The 19,075-nt window shown below is 50.6% G+C and overlaps 1 protein-coding gene across 2 annotated transcripts, besides 1 other annotated feature; it reads right to left on the minus strand.

The window, feature by feature from the left end:
- On the minus strand, positions 1,746 to 16,352 carry MEFV (MEFV innate immunity regulator, pyrin). Of its 2 annotated transcripts, NM_000243.3 has the most exons (10): positions 16,030 to 16,352; positions 13,877 to 14,509; positions 9,150 to 9,499; positions 8,628 to 8,723; positions 6,735 to 6,965; positions 6,244 to 6,266; positions 4,192 to 4,307; positions 3,973 to 4,005; positions 3,579 to 3,611; positions 1,746 to 3,413 (listed from the first exon to the last, which is right to left on the minus strand). In NM_000243.3, exons 1-10 carry the CDS (start codon positions 16,304 to 16,306, stop codon positions 2,860 to 2,862), a joined length of 2,346 nt encoding a protein of 781 aa, NP_000234.1. In that variant the 5' UTR covers positions 16,307 to 16,352; the 3' UTR covers positions 1,746 to 2,859. The 2 variants fall into 2 exon arrangements, with proteins under 2 accessions (NP_000234.1, NP_001185465.2); NM_001198536.2 differs by lacking the exon at positions 13,877 to 14,509 and having other exon boundaries at positions 3,579 to 3,786.
- Positions 3,041 to 4,240: an enhancer, noted in NCBI's record as "CDK7 strongly-dependent group 2 enhancer chr16:3293322-3294521 (GRCh37/hg19 assembly coordinates)". NCBI's record gives its function as "activates an origin of replication core promoter dependent on BRD2, BRD4, P300/CBP, MED14 and CDK7 cofactors, with strong dependence on CDK7, by STARR-seq in HCT116 cells {active_cell/tissue: HCT116}" and the evidence as "EXISTENCE:reporter gene assay evidence [ECO:0000049][PMID:35650434]".

Raw genomic sequence — 19,075 nt, forward strand, 5'->3', positions numbered from 1 at the left:
ACACATATCGTATGATTCCACTTAACATCATATGTCCAGAATAGGCAAATCCATAGAGACAGAAAGTAGCCTAGTGGTTTACATGCTCTGGGGAATGGGGGAGAATGGGGAGTGACTGCTAATACATATGATAAAATGTTCTGGTATTAGTGGTGATATTTATACACACAATGCATATACTAAGAAACACTGAATTTTCCACTTTAAAAGGATGCATTTTATGGTATGGATTTAGAGCTCCATAAAATAACCACTAGGCAGAGAAATTTCATCAGACAGATTCAAATGTGTACTACCTAAAACATTTATGTTTTTGTTTTCCTTTTTTAATTTTTTTATTTTTTGAGACAGGGTGTTGTTCTGTTGCCGAGGTTGGAGTGCAGTGGCACAATCTCGGCTTACTGCAGCCTCTGCCTCAAAGGCTCAAGCAATTCTCCTGCCTCAGCTTCCGGAGCAGCTGGGACTACAGGTGCTCACCACCATGCCTGGCTAATTTTTGTATTTTCTGGTAGAGACGAGGTTTCGCCATGTTGCCCAGGCTGGTCTCGAACCCTGGATGCAAGCGATCTGCCCACCTCCGGCTCCCAAAGTGTTGGGATTGCAGGCGTGAGCCACCGCACCCAGCCTAAAACATGTATGAAGAAGTACAGCAAAACACGAAGTTCAATATGTAGATTCCAAATAGCAAGTATTCAAAGGAACTGTACAATTTCCATAGAATGAAGCAAAAAGCAGAAATTCACATGGAAAAATTCACAGCCTCATTAACAGGTAATGAAATAAAACAGAAGTAAGGCCTCATTACATCCCTATTAAATCAGCAAAAAAATTTTAAATGGCAGTCATTGCTTTGGGCATGAAATATTTTAAAAATCTTTGCAAAGGATGGTATGGCAACCCGTAGGAAGCATTATCAGATATTTCACATTCAGGAACCATTTTAGGAATAACACAGGAGAAAAAAATATGTATATGGTGAGGTGGTGGAAAATATACACAAAGATATTCATGAAAAGCTTATAACAAGGGAGAATCGGGAATAAGACATGACCCACCGCAGGGAACAGCTAAGCCGTAGGTCATGTGAACTGTCCTGGGATGTGGATTACTCTTATAGAATAAAACTCGTGGAGGAAAGCCCAGCAAGTTTACCTGCTCTCATCATAGCCATGGAGTATCTGAGTCTAATCTACACTCTAGTAGTGAAGACAGAGGAGTTGGCATAGGAGTTTGGAATTTAATCTTCATTTGATTTTTTTCTTCTTACATCCACTTTTTGGAGACAGGGACTCACTCTGTTGCCCAGGCTGGATTGCCGTAGTGCAGTCTCAGTTCACTGCTGCAGCCTCGATCTCCTGCGCTCAAGCCATCCTCCCACCCCCATCCCTATGGCTAATTTTTGTATTTTTTGTAGAGACGGGTTTTCGCCACATTGCCCAGCTGGTCTCAATCCCTGGGCTCAGGCGATCCACCCGCCTTTGCCTCCCAAAATGCTGAGATTACAGATGTGAGTCACCATGCCCGGCCCCTTTACATCTCTTTAAATGAAGGACAAATGCACGGGATGTGTGTGAAGTAGAACCTAATATTCCACAACCCGCAGATTTTCCCATACAAACCAAGACAGAATAATCTGACACTTGGAATACATGCCAAATGTTTTTCCATACAGTAGTCCCATCTGCTTCCTGAAATGCAGTCGGGAAATGGGATTCCACAGTGATTGAGTGACAAATGCAAATGACCAGATTTTCTAATTTTTTTATTCATGAGGCCCAGTCAATTCTCTTAAGAATCATGGCCCGGCATGGTGGCTCATGCCTGTAATCCCTGCACTTTGGGAGGCTGAGGTGGGTGCATCACCTGAGGTCAGGAGTTTGAGACCGGCCTGGCCAACATGATGAAACCTCATGTCTACTAAAAATGCAAAAAATTAGCCGGGCATGGTGGCGGGCGCCTGTAATCCCAGCTACTTCGGAGGCTGAGGCAGGAGAATCTCTTGAACCTGGGAGGCGGAGGTTGCGAGCCAAGATTGCACCACTGCACTCCAGCCTGGGTGACAAGAGCAAAACTTTGTCTCAAAAAAAAAAAAAAAAAAGAATCATAGGCCGGGCACAGTGGCTCATGCCTGTAATCCCAGCACTTTGGGAGGCTGAGGCGGGTGGATCACCTGAGGTCAGGAGTTCGAGACCAGCCTGGCTAACATGGTGAAACCCCCGTCTCTACTAAAAATACAAGAAAACCAGCCTGGTGTGGTGGCACGCACCTGTAATCCCAGCTGCTCAGGAGGCTGAGGCAGGAGAATCGCTTGAACCTGGGAGGTGGAGGTTGCAGTGAGCTGAGATCGTGCCACTGCACTCCAGCCTGGGCCACAGAGCAAGATTTGGTCTCAAAAAAAAAAAAAAAAAATCATAGTTCATTAATCCAGGTACACAAATACTTCTATCCCAATCCAGTCTGCTTGCGTTTCTCTAGGCTTCCCATATCCTCAAGACAGAAGCAGAGAGAACAAGGGGACATATATCCTTGCCGTGGGGTTCTGAGGGAAAATGAGGGCCAAATCTTCTGTTCAGGAGCACCTGAGAGTGCCACCCACCAGGGGCGGATTATGCAACGACTCCGTACTTCCTCCTCTGAAATCCATGGTGTGTCATCAGTACATGTCTTCACCCGGATTGACTAACATGTTCGTTCCTAACTTACCTCTGCTATAATCGGGTAGGCTCCGTGGGCACAGTAACTATTTTGTTATTTTTGCATTTCCCATAGCAGCTAGCACCTAGTCGGCATTCCGTGACTATTGAGTGTGAATGCAAGATACAAGGCCAGAAGCAGGAAGAGAGATGCAGTGTTGGGCATTCAGTCAGGCCCCTGACCACCCACTGGACAGATAGTCAGAGGAGCTGTGTTCTTCCCTCCATCACGTGTCCCAGGGCTGAAGATAGGTTGAAGGGGCCCAGAGAAAGAGCAGCTGGCGAATGTATAGATGTGGGATCTGGCTGTCACATTGTAAAAGGAGATGCTTCCAACTCTGTAGTCCACGAAGATGCCCACACGCTTGGGAGGCTCCTTTATTAGCAGGCGGGTCGGGGGAACGCTGGACGCCTGGTACTCATTTTCCTTCATCATTATCACCACCCAGTAGCCATTCTCTGGCGACAGAGTCATGTTCCCTTTCCTGCTTATGGATGTCTTGCAGGCTCCCAGGATCCATGCTGTCTTGTCTCCAACCTCCACCTCCCAGTAACGGCGGCCAGAGAGGAAACTCGGAGAGCCCAGAACAATGATACAGCTGTCAAATCTTTGCGGGCCATCAGGCAGCCTCTCCCACTTGTTTCCAAGTCTAACACTCTTCAGATCATCAGAGAAGATGAGGTTGGGGTAAGCGGTTTCTGCATCCAGAATCACATTAACTGCAAAGAAAATTTGAATACCTAGGTAGGGGTCCATGGGCAACATCCCTACAGGGTTCTCCCCACCTGCAGGAAACAGGGACAGGGTAGTTCTTCTGGAACGTGGTAGGGGAGAGCACAGGGATCCAGCAGGCCAGGGCCACTTGCCTTGATCTGGGCACTTACCAGCATGTGCCTGAGCGCCAATCAGCTCCGGAACTACGGAGAAAAATCAGATAGGGAAAAAAATCCTGAGCATTAGCATTAAGAGGGGCTAAATTACACTGTCCTGACAACAAGGAAAGACAAGGAACCCCCTGCTTAGGGCCCTGCATGCTATGTTGGGTATAATCCCGTTCCTCCCAGGAACCCAGGCCATGTTGGGGACTGTGGTCTAATGAGTCAACTCAGTCAATGAGTCACGCACAGAGCCTGGGGGGCCTGCCATGACCTTTCTCCTACCTTTGCTCCAGGTGTTTGGTTTTTTTTTTTGTCTTCTAAATAGGGCCCCTCAAGTCAACAGCACAAGGGAACACTGCAACAACCCCAGGCCAGCACACACCATTACCGCTGGACTCACCATTGAACATTTCCATTTCTGAACGCAGGGTTTCTAAAATGTGGGAAAGGGAGCAGAGAGAAGCTGGAGTTAGGTCCCTCAGCCAGGGACAGATGGAGGAGAGGTTGAAGGCAGGTCAGCAAGACCAGGGGAAGAGGAGGGAAGTGAGGGGCTCTGGGCTATGTGGATCTTAGGGAGGAAGTGAGCATGCACCTCCAATCTTCTCCCAAGCCCATCTACCTGAGAAGTACTTTGTGCTCTTCTCCACAAACTCTGACTTCTGGTGGAGGAGTTGGATCTTTTGTTTTATCTCTTGAGGAGTGGTCCACTTTTCAGGGACAGGCACTGTCTTAGCCCTAGAGACAAAAGACTGTTGACCAGAGAAGGCCGGAGCGAGGGGGTGGCCCAAGTACCCGTGAGCTGGAAATGAACTACATTCTCCACAGGGCACACCTAGCCCAGCCTGAGCTACACAAAGAAAAGTCTTCCCTGGATTCAGAGGTCTAAATGCTGGTCCTCAACTTTGGCCACAGACTGTCATGTACTGGGGTGCTTTAAAGACATGGATATCAAAACCACAAGGAGTTTTCAGAATGGACTTAAAATGACATTGATATTATCTACTAGAATTATCTATGTCAAATTGATTATACACCCCTTTCTTTCTATTGAAATAAAAAGATAATAAATGAAAAAAAAACACACACAACAAAATATCCCTTCACATCCATTAGAATGGCTATTATAAAAACAGCAACAACAGAAAAAAATAGACCAGGTATGGTGGCTCATGCCTGTAATCCTAGCACTTCAGGAGGCCGGGGCAGTGGGATCGCTTGAGCCCAGGAGTTCAAGTCCAGCTTGGGCAACATGGCGAAACCCTGTCTCTATTAAAAATACAAAAAAGTAGCCGGAAGTGGTAGCACATGCCTGTAGTCCCAGCTACTCAGGATGCCAGCTACTCAGAATCACCCGAGCCCAGGAAGCTGAGCCTGCAGTGAGCTGTGACTGTGCCACTGCTCTCCAGCCTTAGTGATGGGAGTGAGACCTTGTCTCAAGAAGAAAAGAAAGGAAGGAAGGAAGAAAGGAAGGAAGGGAGGGAGGGAGGGAAGGAAGGAAAGAGAAATGGCTGGGCACGGTGGCTCACGCCTGCAATCCCAGCGCTTTGGGAGGCCAAGGTGGGTGGATCACTTGAGGTCAGGAGTTTGAGACCAGCCTGGCTAATATGGTGAAACCCTGTCTACCAAAAAAATTAGCTGGGCATGGTGGCACGCTCCTGTAGTCCCAGCTACTAGGGAGGCTGAGGTGGGAGAATCCCTTGAACCTGGGAGGCAGAGGTTGTAGTGAGCCAAGATCGCGCCACTGCACTCCAGCCTGGATGACAGAGCAAGACGCTGTCTTCAAAAAAAAAGAGAGAGAGAGAGAGTGAAACAGAAGAAAATAAGTGATGGCAAAGATGTGGAGAAACTGGAGCCCCTGTGTGCTGCTGGTGGGAATGTGAAGCGATGCAGCCCCTGTGAGAATTAGGATGGTGGTTCCTCAAAAAAAATTAAACACAGGATAACCACATGGTCCCGCAGTTCCACTTCTGGGTAGGTACCCAAAATAACAAAGCAGGGTCTCAAGCAGATATTTGTACACCCTTGTTCATAGCAACATTATTCACAAACCAAAAGTTAGAAGAAGTCCCGATATCCATGAATGGATAAGCAAAATGTATGAACACACACTGGACTATGATTCAGCCATAAAAAGAAAATAAATTCTGATACACGTTACAACACGGATGAAGCCCGAAGACATTATGCTAAGTGAAGAAGCCAGACACAAAAGGACACCGGGATTTTGTAAAGCTCCCAGGTGATTTTAAGGCTTAGCCTCTTCCTGTCCCTTCCCTCCCCTCCCCTTCCTGCTGGGCTTAGCCCAGCTCCACTCCAAACAAGCTTCCCAAGGCCACCAGTAGGCCTGAAGGGGCAGCTTTCATCAGATGAACTGCACGGGACACAATGCACTCGGAAGGTTTCTTAGGGAGCCTCCATCTTGTTTCAGCAGGATGGGCTGAATTCACCCTTCCCAGTCTGCAGCTCCATACCCGGCCAGCCTCCCTGCTGACCAGATGCCCTTCTCCCTATCAAATCCAGAGAGGCTTTGGGAAGCTGCAGAAAAAAGGAGGAGTCTGGAATCACAGACCCCGGGGTTGGGAACATCTCCCTCCCAGGTCCCTTCTGGGACTGTCTCCCCCATATGCTTTCTGCAAGACACCCCAGGGTACACCACAGGACCTCGCTGTACCTGTGCAAGATGTCTCCAATGTCCTAGGAGAAAAAAGAAGGAAACTGTCGGTTACCAGGCTCCTAGTGGCTGGGCTGACTCCTGGCCTCTACTTCTGGGCTCCTGGACTTTTAGCTCCCCGCTGCACTTACCAGGGCTCCCTGCCCTAGGGTGTCAGTGGAAGTGGAGCACCTTTCTTCAAGTCTAATTCTAACCACGGGAATTCAGGCATCCCAGGTGGCGAGGCCTGCAATGGAACGGCCCTCAAGCCCTGCTGATCCCTTCTGGGAAATGGCAGAGATCCCCTGGATACCAGGCCACCCTGGGCTCCTGAGAGACCTCATCAAAGGGGTCTGGGCACAAGAGGCACTGTGGGTCACCAAGACCAAGTCCTATCCTAGGCCTTAGGGGCTTCACCCACTTGTTCCAGCACGGCTGATGGCAGAGCTGGGAGCCTGAGGCATCCTGATAGGCACAGGGGACCCAAGAAAGCCGGGCCCAGGCACACCCACCTGCAGAAGTTCCCATTCTGACTGGCACTCCTTGGCCTCCAGTTCCCCAATCAGCGCATCGAGCAGGGCGATGTCCTGGGATACGCGGGTGTCATATGCCTTCCTGATCTGCCCAACCATCTGGCCCACGTCCTCCAGTGAGGCCACAAAGAAATGCTCTTGCTGCTCCAGGAAGTAGTACACCTGCTCCAGCTTCCTCTGCACCCGCTGCTTCAGCGCTTCAGTTTGTTTCTGGGGAGCAGAGGACAGGGAGGTATGGGGGTCTGTGCTGTGGGTGGACGTGGATGTCCAGGAACCCCCAGAAGCCCACCTCCTGGAGGTGGATAAGAGGTGGGCTTATGCTGCCTCTTCAAGGCCTAGATTCCAGAGCAGGAGGCGATATTGTCTGGAACCTTCCAGAAAAGACTGAGCATGGCTGGGGCTAGCTCTGGGAAAATGTCCTTAAACCTGGTGTTAAGGTTTAACTGTGTCCCTTCCAAAATTTACACGTTGAAGCCCTAACCCCCAGTACTCAGCATGTGATCTTATTTGGAGATAAGAGTTCTTGCAGATGTAATTAGTTAAGATGTGGTCCTACTGGGATTGGGTGGGTCCCTAATCCAATATAAATGTTGTCTTATAAAATGGGGAAATTTGGGCTGGGTGCATTGGCTCATGTCTGTAATCCCAGCACTTTGGGAGGCTGAGTTGGGCAGATCACTTGAGATCAGGAGTTCGAGACCAGCCTGGCCAACATGGGGAAACTCTGTCTTTACTAAAAATACAAAAATTAGCCAGGAGTGGTGGCATGTGCCTACAGTCCCAGCAACTCGGGAGGCTGAGGCAGGAGAATTGCTTCAACTGGGGAGGCGAAGGTTTGCAGTGAGCCGAGATTGCACCACTGCACCCCAGCCTGGACGACGGAGTGAGATTCCATCTCAAAAAAAAAAAAAAAAAAAAACCCTAAAAAACAAAAAAACCAGCCCAGGCACGATGGCTCACACCTGTAATCCCAGCACTTTGGGAGGCCGAGGCAGGTGGATCACCTGAGGTCAGGAGTTTGAGACCAGCCTGGCCAACACGGTGAAATCCCGTCTCTACTAAAAATACAAAAATTAGCCAGGCGCGGTGGCAGGCGCCTGTAATTCCAGCCACTAAGGAGGCTGAGGCAGGAGAATTGCTTGAACCTCGGAGGTGGAGGTTGGAGCAAGCCAAGATCGTGCCACTGTACTCCAGCCTGGGTGACAGAGCGAGACTCCATCTTGGAAACAAAACAAAAAAACAGAGAGTAAATTATGAAGTTAAAAGTGTTCTTGGCCGGGCGCAGTGGCTCACATCTGTAATCCCAGTACTTTGGGAGGCCAAGGCGGGCGGATCACGAGTTCAGGAGTTCGAGAACAGCCTGACCAACATGGTGAAACCCCATCTCTACTAAAACTACAAAAATTAGCCAGGCATGGTGGCACTCACCTATAATCCCAGCTACTCAGGAGGCTGAGGCAGGAGAATCGCTTGAACCCGGGAGGCAGAGGTTGCAGTGAGCCAAGATCACACCACTGCACTACAACCTGGGTGACAGAGCGAGACTCCGTCACAAAAAAAGAAAGTGGCGTTCTCCTCCCTTTTCCTCAATCCCATCTTTCTGCAGTAGTCACCGGCATAGGTTGCTCTCTACCATCTTCTGGTGAGTATGAGAAAGCATGACAGGATCCTCAGAGGTGACCCCTGCCTGCTGGGGGTGGTCTCCCTCTACAGGGATGAGCTTACCCTTGGCTGCTGGTTACCCTCTGTCCCCTGAGAGGAGGTGGCCATCCCTGCTGCCCTGTGAACCACAGCAGAATCTCGGGGACCCCTGCTCACTCTTCCCACCTTCCTCCCAGGGACGGATGGGCCATCAGCCACCTCTGACCTTACCAGAAAGCTCACTGCCTTCTCCTCCCCATAGGATCGCTGCTCCTCCCCTGATTTTCTCAGCTTCTTCAGATGCTCCAGCTGCTTCTGAATTTTCTTCTGGAAAAACAGCACTTGTTGAAAAGCTTGAATTTGGCTCCTGCCATCTTTAGCTGGTGCCAACTCTGGAGGGGAACATCTCCTTCTGGTAGCAAGGCTGAGGGTGCTGCTGCCAGCGGCATGGGGAGGGGTGCTCAGGAAAGAGGAGGGAGGAATGGCTGAATTGCCAAAGGCAGCAGAGCTGAGAGGCACTTCCTCTGAGCCTCTGGATTCAGCCATACCTGAAGCCAGCTCCCCCTGGATCTCTGAGCAACATAAACCTGTAGCTCCCCTCTTTGCTGGACTGGTTTATATTGTGTTCTTGCCATTTCCAGCCCAAGAATGCTGGTTAATGCACCAACAACCCAGAGTTGTTGGGAAAATGAAGTAAGGCCCAGTGTGTCCAAGTGCCTGGCAGAGAAGAGCCCACAGGCAGGGAGTGCCTACCTTGTGTTCCAGGGCGACCTCCTCAATGGGGCGCACCCGGTGGCCTTGGTGCTCCTGACTCAGACTGCAGATGAGGCAGATGGGCTCATCGTGATCCTCACAGAAGAGCAGCTGGACCTGCTTCAGGTGGCGCTTACACTGTGGCAGGGGCTGGGGGCTTAGGCTTCCCGGGCTCTTCCTTTCATGGGAGTCCTGGCACCGGGGGCAGCCAGGTGAGCGGCTGCCTGAGGCCTGGGGGTGCCCAGAAACTGCCTCGGGGAAGCTGCAGGAATCACGCACACAGGTACCGTCAACTGGGTCTCCTTCCTGGGCGTGGCAGCGGGGACTCGCAGCCGTGTCTGGTGGCCTTCCTGGGGACATGCAGTGGAAAAACCCCCTGAATGGCAAACCCAAGTTGCTTACACAGAGGTATCACAAAGCACAGCGGACACAGCCCTTGCCTGAGATGTGCGAGTTCTCAGTTAGACTCTGCCCACTTCCTAGCTTGTCCTCCCCCGACTTCCATCCAGTGAGGAAGCAAACAGGCCACTGGGCCTGAGAGCTAAGGGCCAGACCTCAGACATTCCTGAGCCTTGGAATTCTTGGGCATTTATCCTAAAGAAAGACCCATGGCCTTGTGCTGTTCCTCCTGCACAGACATAGATCTAGCAGGTGATGCCAAGGAAAGAGACATTCTGACCAGTGTTCCTTTGCCACTTGAACCCATCCCTGGCTGCCCATAACGTGAGTGGAGGCTTCCAGGGGATGGTGACTTGTGTACCTCGCTCCTAGCTGGATCCCAGCCCCTAGCAGAGTACCTGGCAAATGCAAGCATTTGGAAAATGAGTATTGAATGAAGGAATAAATAGACCACTGCTCACATATGAGTTCAATAACCATTAAATGAAAGCAAAGAAGGGGCTGGGTGGTGGCTCATGCCTATAATCCCAGTGCTTTGGGAGGCCAAGGTGGGAGGACTGCTTAAGCTCAGGAGTTTGAGACCAGCCTGGGCAACATGGCAAGAGCCCACCTCTACAAAAAATTAAAAAATTAGCCAGGTGTGGTGGTGCACACCTCTAATCCCAGCTACTTGGGAGGCTGAGACAGGAGGATTGCTTGAACCTAGGAGGTTGATGCTGCACCACTGCACTCCAGCCTGGGCAACAGAGTAAGATGCCATCTTAAAAGAAAAAGCAAAGAAGGGGGGCATTATAGGGCTAAAGACTGGAACTCATCATGAAGACCTAACAGTTATGAATAGCTCTACTCCAAGACTCTAATTGCAACTTCATAAGCAGACATGCCACGAGATACAAGAAGAAATAGAAACACAAGGCCGAGCGCAGTGGCTCACGCCTGTAATCCCAGCACTTTGGGAGGCCGAGGCGGGTGGGTCATGAGGTCAGGAGTTCAAGACCAGCCTGGCCAAGATGGTGAAACCCTGTCTCTACTAAAAATACAAAAATTAGCCGGACGTGGTGGTGGGCACCTGTAATCCCAGCTACTCGGGAGGCTGAGGCAGGAGAATTGCTTGAACCCGGGAGGCGGAGTTTGCAGTGAGCTGAAGTTGCGCCACTGCACTCCAGTCTGGGTGACCAAGAGAGACTCCATCTCAAAAAAAAAAAAAAAAAAAAAAAGAAATAGAAACACACTCAATCCTTTAGCCCCTGCTACCTCCTCCCACCTCACAGTGTCCCAGAAATTCACAGCACATCTGTAAATGAGACTGCTAGTAGTCACCAGAAATTATTCTCCCTCCTTCTCTCGTGATAGAATTAATTGTCCACGTTTCCCTGTTTCCCTGCCTCCCATTGCCCCCCAAATGCCCTGCATTTCTCAGCCTCCTTTGCAGTTAGGTGTGGCTATTTGACAATAATATGACCAAAGGGATGTAAATGGAGGTGTCACAAGCAGCTTCTAGAAACTTCTAGAGCTTTCCCGAGGGATACTATTCCCCTCTGTTCCTCCATCTTGCTGCCTGGCATGAGGACGTCACCTTCTGAGAGCAGAAGCTTGAGGACAAACTTGGTGGGACAGAGCAACAGCAGGACCCCAGGGTCCTGGCCCACGGATCTGCCTGGGACCGCCTGTGTATCATTTATGTGAAGGAGGCACAAACTTCTTTTCTGTTGAGGTTACTGTTATTTGGGTGTTTCTATTATTCACAACCAAACATAATTTTAATGACTACCTCAGCAGTAGATAGTTAGGACTTTAGCCAATAGGCTTTTCTTTCTGCTGAGAGAAAGGCAAATGGTAGAATCTCAACCCCATGATGATGCATTGCTGTGAGGTTATTGTGAGAGGGAGTATTTTTAACCAGTCTTCCCCAGATTTTCTACCTGGTGTCCATAAACCCCTTGGATTCTAAAGATGGTCTTCAGAGTGTCCAAGAACTACCTGAAATTTGATGTGACATTTGTGAAGCTGTGCATATATGCATTTTTCAGGGTCTAAGCCTGCATCAGATTAACGAAGCGGCCCTAGAAGACACCCAGGAATCCCAATGATATAAATACAGTGGGGACCTGGTGCAGTGGTGCACACCTGTAATCCCAGCAGTTTCGGAGGCAAAGATGGGAGGATTGTTTGAGATCAGGAGTTCGAGACCAACCTGGGCAACATAGCAAGACCCCATATCTAAAAAAAAAAAAAAATTAAAAAAAATACAGTAGGGATAAAAGAAAATTAGGGGGGAAATACTTCAGTACTTTTCAGGTCACTATTCCTAAGGATGCTAGGTTTTCCAGATCCCAGGGTCCTTTCTCACTGGAAGACCCAGGGACTTCTGGATTTGAAGACTCATGCAGCATACCACATCCTTTCCCCTCCCAGGTCTCAGGGGTCCCTGGACTCCCAATTCTTTTTTTTTTTTTTTTTTGAGACAGAGTTTTGCTCTTGTCGCCCAGGCTAGAGTGCAGTGGCATGATCTTGGCTCACTGCAACCTCTGCCTCCTCGGTTCAAGCAATTCTCCTGCCTCGAAGCCTTCTGAGTAGCTGGGATTATGGACACCCGCCACCACGCCCAGCAAATTTAGTATTTTTAGTAGAGATGGCGTTTCACCATGTTGGCAGGCTGGTCTCGAACTCCTCACCTCAGGTGATCCGCCCCCATTGGCCTCCCAAAGTGCTGGGATTACAGGTATGAGCCACCGCACCCGGCCTGGACCCCCAATTCTATTTCTCCTCCTTGAGTGCTGTGATTTCTCCTCTCCAGCCAACAATGCATTGGAAAGTGTGTTCCATAGGCTGGGTGTAGTGACTCACACCTGAAATCCTAGCACTTTTAGAGGCTAAGGCGGGGGATCGCTTGAGCCCAAGAGTTCAAAACCAGCCTGGGCAACATAGACAGTCCTCGTAACTACAAAAAATACAAAAAAAAAAAAAAAAATTAACCAGGTGTGGTGGTGAGCACCTATAGTCTCAGCTACTTGGAAGGCTGAGGTGGGAGGATCGCTTGAGCCTAGGAGGTTGAGGCTGCAGTAAACTGTGCTCACACTACTGCACTCCAGCATGGGAGACAGACTGAGACTCTGTCTCAAAAAAAAAAAAAAAAAAAAAAAAGGAAAGTGTGTTTCTGAATGCTGCCCCCACCACGAGCATGGAATTGTCACCTGGATAGCCTCGGTACCCTCTAAACTGGTGGCATTTTTCTTTTACAGTTTTTTTTTAGTCTCTTTACCTATAGGGACAGCTGCTTAAAAAAATCCAGATGGCCTGGAGCCTCCTGATCCCTTGCCAAAAACCAGAGGAAGTTAAGATCAGAGCAAAACCAGTGCAAACTGGAAGAGGTGACTTCCAGTTACCTTAAGATCATTTACACATTGTTATAAGGCTAAAGGTCCCTCCCCTAAAAGAAGATGGCCAGGGTTTTGTGTCCATGCGATGTAGGAAGAAGCATGCTGGGGACAGCGCCTGCACATATGGAACCCTGCCCTGGGCCTGCTTACCTATCTCCCTTCCCCTCCCTGGACTCTAAAATCGCCCTGCCTCCCATCCCTGGCAAGCAGACGCCTGCAGAGGTGAGCTCCCCTTCTCCATTCTTTGGCCACTGATAACACCTGATTGCCTTTTTCAATCGGACATTCTTTCTTTCTTTTTTTTTCCCCCCAAAATGTTTAAGAGACAGGGTCTTGCTCTGTTGCCCAGGCCGGAGTGCAGTGGCACATCCTCAGCTCACTGCAGCCTGGAACTCCCTGGCTCAAGCAATCCTCCTGCCTCAGCTTCCTGAGTGGCTAGAATTACAGGCGTGTGCCACCATACCCAGCTAATTTTTTTTTTAGTTTTGTAGAAGTGGAGTCTGGCTACGTTGCTCAGGCTGGTGTGCAGTGGCATGATCTCAGCTCACTGTAGCCTGGAACTCCGTCTGCTCAAGTGAACCCGAGCAGCTGGGACTACAGGCGCGTGCCACTATTGTATTTTGTAGAGATGGGGTCTCACTGTGTTGCCTAGGCTAGTATGGAACTCCTGGGGTCAAGAGATCCTCCCGTGCAGGCCTCTCAAAGCTCTGGGATTACAGGCGAGAGCTACCACGCCCTGCCCAACCTTTGGGTTTTTATTTTTTTAATTTCGTTTATAGAGATGGCGGGGGTCTCACTACATTCACCAGGCTGGTCTCAAAGTCTTGGCCTCCAGCAATCCTCCCGCCCTGGCCTCCCAAAGCGCTGGGATTACAGGCATGAGCTATCGTGCCCGGCCAGCCATTCTTTCTCTGCAGCCGATATAAAGTAGGAAAGAACACAATTTACCGGTGACCGAATGTTCTGGATTTCCAGGGCCTTCCTTCAGGTCCGCAGATGCCCCTCCATCCGGAGTGGGCCTTGCCCGGGGTTCTGTTGCCGAGTCCAGATTCGCAGCTGTCTTTTCCTCTAGAGTCAGGAGAATTTCTGGATTTGCGGGCGCCTTCTCCCCTGTAGAAATGGTGACCTCAAGGCTTCTAGGTCGCATCTTTCCCGAGGGCAGGTACACTTCGAAGGGCCTGCACTCCTTCTGCCCCGGGGCGCCCCCCGCCAGCCCCTGCAGCCTCCCCGCGGAGCTGGCGTTTCTGCGCAGCCGGACCTCGGCCTGGCCCCCCTCTAGCGCCCTGCAGGGGCCGGGGCTTCTCCCGCCCGGCAGGGCCGGGCTCCGGGTCCGAGGCTTGCCCTGCGCGTCCAGGCCCTCCGAGGCCTTCTCTCTGCGTTTGCTCAGGGGCTTCCTCGACAGCCCCCTCCCGGCCTCGGGCTGGCTGCACCGCAGGCTGGCAGCTCCGCCCCCGTACGGCCGAGGGCCGTTCCCCTCGTTCCCCTCGGGGTGGTCTGGAGTCTTCAGGCTCCTGGGCTTGTTCTCCCCCAGGGAGCTGGACGCTGCGGAATCATCTGTGCCGTTTTCTTGTGTGGAATATTCTGGAAGGACAACCAGATGCAAAATGATGAAGCTGTCCCACGTTTAGGGCCCAAGATTCAGGGCAGAGGAGAGAGAATCCCCTTGGATATTAAAGTTTAGAAATTGAGGAAAACAACGGGCCGGGCGCGGTGGCTCATGCCTGTATTCCCGGCACTCTGGGAGGCCGAGGCGGGAGGATCACCTGAGATCAGGAGTTCAAGACCAACAGGGTGAAACCCCGTCTCTACTAAAAATACAAAAATAAGCTGAGCGTGGTGGCGCATGCCTGTAATCCCAGCTTCTCCAGAGGCCAAGGTGGGAGGATCATTTGAGGTCAGGAGTTCGAGACCAGCCTGGCCAACATGGCAAAACCCCGTTCCTACTAAAAATAAGAAACTCAGCCAGACGCGGTGGTGCGCACCTGTAGTCCCAGCTACTCGGGAGGCTGAGGCATGAGAATCGCTTGAGCCCGGGATGTGGAGGTTGCAGTGAGCTGAGATCGGGCCACTGCACTCCAGCCTGAGTGACAGAGCAAGACTCCATCTCAAAAACAAAAGTTCAGGACTTCCTAGACTAGACAATGGCAGTCAATTACCATTCAGTAAGAACATGCTTGATGTTGCTATGTATTTCTCTCTCTCTTATTTTATTTTTTGAGACAGGATCTTGCTCTGTTGCCCTGATGTGATCTCAGCTCACTGCAACCTCTGCCTCCCAGGCTCAAGCAATCCTCTCACCTCAGCCTGTTTTCTGTTTTTTCAATAGCTGAAAATACAGGTGTGTGCTACCACGCCTGGCTCATTTTTTTGTATTTTTGGTAGAGACAGGGTTTCACCATGTTGCCCAAGCTGGTCTCAAACTCCTGAGCTCTAGCAATCCACCCACCTTAGCCTCCCAAAGTGCTGAGATTATTTATAAGTGTGAGCCACCATGCCTAGCCTATATTTCTCAAATAGTACTTTTCAAACGTTTTAAGCAGGACAACTGTTTCAAATAAGATCTTACACAGGTCAGCAAAACCCAGATTATACGCTTTAAAAATAAAAATAAGCCGGGCACGGTGGCCTATGTCTGAAATCCCAGCACTTTGGGAGGCTGAGGCGGGAGGATCACTTGAGGTCAGGAGTTCGAGACCAGCCTGGCCAACATGGTGAACAGCACTGAGAAGATTCTATACCAACCCCGTTCATATGATTGCATAGCAATCCCTTTTTGCTAACCTAGAGATGTTTGTCTGACATGAGTATTAATCATAAATGTAGTGAAGAAGTCTCAAAGAACAGGTGTTCCAGCTCCTGCCTTTCGTGACCCTGACCTGCTTCTTAAAAAACCCATTAGGAGCCTGAAGGAAGTTTACTAACCCAGTTCCAAAGGCCAGAGTGAAGAAAGGGACGTTCCTGAACTAAAGTCATCTGGATTTTGGTAGACCTGAGACTCCCAATCCCCAGGTCAGAGTGAGCTGCTCTGAGCTCCTGGTCCCCTTTCCCACAAAGCAGCCAGCACTCAGCACTGGATGAGGAGGAGGCCTGGGCCCGCTTACCCTGAATGGCTGCCCTGTGGAGCTCCTCGGCCAGCAGGCGCTGGTTGATGGCCCGCAGGACCTGCAGGGTGAGCTGCACGGCGTACTCTTCCCCATAGTAGGTGACCAGCAGAGTGGCCATCTTCACCGGCCTGGCTCTCTGGATCTGGCTCCGGGGGATCCTGGAGTGCTCCTTCTGCACACTGGTGTTCTGCAGCTTGAACTTGAACTTCTCGAAGTCATAGGGCACCAGCTCCTCCAGGGTGGACAGCAGATGGTCACTAGGGGTCTTAGCCATGGTGCTGAGCAGGAGAGGCTCGAGCCAGCTGTCTGGCTTCTGGTAGGAAAAGAAGCCTCTGTCCTTGGTGAGCAAGAAAAGGCAGGTTGTGAAATAGCGGAAAAGGCACAGGAAATGCTCTGTGTCTTGGTGGGAACTGAGACTAAGGGTAAGGGTGTGTCCATGCCGGCTGTGTTCTCTTCTTACAGGTTCAGAGGATTTTCCAGCTGGGAGGGCTCCATGCCTTGGCAGACATGTGCCCCCACACCCCTCCCAAACCCTGGACCTCGCCTCCACACTAGACCACAGACAGATGGGCAAGTCTGCAAGGGAAGGTCTGGGATTGGATTCCAGACACCCCCTCCAATCTTCCTTCCTGCCAGGATCTGGGGCTGGCAGAGCGGGTGAGTGGGAACAGAGAGGACTATGCTGAGGGCCCGCCCTGCTGGTCAACTGTTCTCCTCCAGACTCGGGGTTTCAGGGACCTTCCAGAGCCAATGGCACAGGACGGGGGAAGGGGTGGGCACTGAATACAGTCCTGTGAGCTTTGCCTTTCCTGGCCCAAGAAGGCAAGTGAGGCCAGAAGGGCACTGCCAGGAGATAACTCTTGCCATGCCATCACCCCTGTTGATCCGGTTCCAGTTGACTGGTTCTTCCAGCCACATGAAGGACTTGAAAAGCAATGCCTGGACCACCAGCCTGACTCATCTGTTCCCAGAGCTGACTCAGTCCTCGCTCCCTGGAGCCAGAATGCTCTTCCGTGCACATTCATTGAACATTCTAGACAGTGTGCCAAGATGCTGGAGCTACACGGGTGAAAAGGCACGGGTGTCCTTCAGCTCATATGTGGTGCAGGGCCCCAGAGGTGGCTTTGAAGCTAACAGAAGTTACATGTTGGGGGCAGGGCACAGTGGCTAACGCCTGTAATCCCAGCACTTTGGGAGGCCGAGGTGGGTGGATCACCTCAGGTTGGGAGTACAAGACCAGCCTGGCCAACACAGTAAAACCCCATCTCTACTAAAAATACAAAAATTAGCCAGGCATGGTGGCACGCACCTGTACTCCCAGCTACTCAGGAGGCTGAGGCAGGAGAATCACTTGAACATGGGAGGCAGATGTTGCAGTGAGCCGAGGTTGCGCCATTGTACTCCAGCTTGGGCGACAGAGCGGGACTTTGTCTCAAAAAAAATAAATAAATGAAAAATTACATGTAGGGTGAACTGACTCCTCACTTACCTACTTCTGACCGTTGCATACCCTAATTTTTTTATTTTTAGATAGGGTCTTGCTCAGTCACTCAGGCTGGAGTGCAGTAGTGGGATCTTGGCTCACTGCAACTTCTGCCTCCTGGGCTTGAGCAACCCTCCAACCTCAGCCTCCCAAGTAGCTGAGACTACAGGTGCATTCCACCACATCTGGCCAATTTTTGTATTTTTTATAGAGACAGGGTCTCACTATGTTGCGCAGGCTGGTCTTGAACTCCTGATCTCAAGCGATCCACTCGCTTTGGCCTCCCAAAGTGCTGGGATTACAGGTGTGAGCCACTGCGCCCGGCCAGAAGTTTTGTTAATAATGCAATTTACCCTTCACCAGCACTTCCTCGGCACCAGCCACCACTAGCTTTATAAACACTTCCTCCTAGAATCTCTGCAGCACCCTGCAGGGCTGCGTTTATCATCCCCCTGTGCAGCCAAGAATCTGTAGCTTAGTGACTTGCCTAGAGCCAAGATCCAAACGTCAAACCACTTCACAACATCGTCTCCTGCATGACAATAATTTGTGATTTTACTGTTAATGACTACCCATGGATGTCACATTTCCAGCTGACCACTGAGGTCCAGGATGGGTCACTTCCACAGGTCAGTCACAACATTGCGACGCCTAGCTGAACACCCAGCTCTGGGTGTGAGCTCCTCTGTGTGTGCCCAGCCTGGGATTCAAGGCTTTGATGAGTTCTGGTTGGTTGAATTTAACTTACTGTCCAGCTGGTCCACCTGTTTCCTATTTCACAGAGTATTTGGTGTTTTTGCATTGTTTTCATAGCTGACAACAAACATGCAGTTTGCTAGATCTTTCTGAGCCCAAACCCAACATCTTCCCTAAAAAAAGGGTGAATTGGGCTGGGTGTAGTGGCTCACACCTGCAATCCCAGCCCTTGGGAGGCTGAGACAGGAGGATTACTTAAGCCCAAGAGTTTGAGATTAGCCTGGGCAACATAAGGAGACCCTGCCTCTACAAAAAATAGAAAAAATATTAGCTGGGTGTGGTGGCACACACTGGTGGTCCCTGCTGCTACTCAGGAGGCTGAGGTGGGAAGATTGCTTGAGCCTAGGTTCAGGCTGCAATGAGCTGTGATTGCACCACTGCTCTCCAGCCTGGGTGACACAGCAAGACACCCTGTCTCAAAAAAAAAAAAAAAAAAAAAAAAAAAAAGTGGATGAAATGCACATTGATGGTGCAGACAGCAGATTTTTGGAATTTTTAGGCTGGGCCAGAAGAAGGGTGTTGAATGGGGTATCACTGGGGCCAGCACCCGTCCCTGACTCTGGACGGTGGCAACCCAGCACCTCCCAGGCAGTCTCCCACTACCAGATGGAGAAAGGATGAGACTGTGCAGTGACGCTGTGGGTGCTGTGTGATCCCATCTCGTCTGGTCAGAAAACTCCTCGGAGCTGATACCAAAACCCCATGACAGAATTGGGCAGGGAATGATACTTTCTGGTCTAAAGCAGGATATTTTGCAATTGCGGTGACACGTTTTGCAACAGAGGCTGCTCTGAGGCAGGACTT

The sequence above is a fragment of the Homo sapiens genome, chromosome 16 (assembly GCF_000001405.40).
Source record: "Homo sapiens chromosome 16, GRCh38.p14 Primary Assembly".
NCBI classification, from domain to species: Eukaryota; Metazoa; Chordata; class Mammalia; order Primates; family Hominidae; genus Homo; species Homo sapiens.

What these genes read in the sequence shown, in the direction of transcription:
- MEFV (NM_000243.3), bottom strand. Translation starts at nt 16,306, where the DNA reads ATGGCTAAGACCCCTAGTGACCATCTGCTGTCCACCCTGGAGGAGCTG. An exon ending in AGAAGGCAGTGAGCTTTCTG is followed by an intron (nt 6,966 to 8,627) that starts GTAAGGTCAGAG and finishes TCTGCTCCCCAG; the next exon opens with AAACAAACTGAAGCGCTGAA. An exon ending in GAGCACAAAGTACTTCTCAG is followed by an intron (nt 4,006 to 4,191) that starts GTAGATGGGCTT and finishes CCCACATTTTAG; the next exon opens with AAACCCTGCGTTCAGAAATG.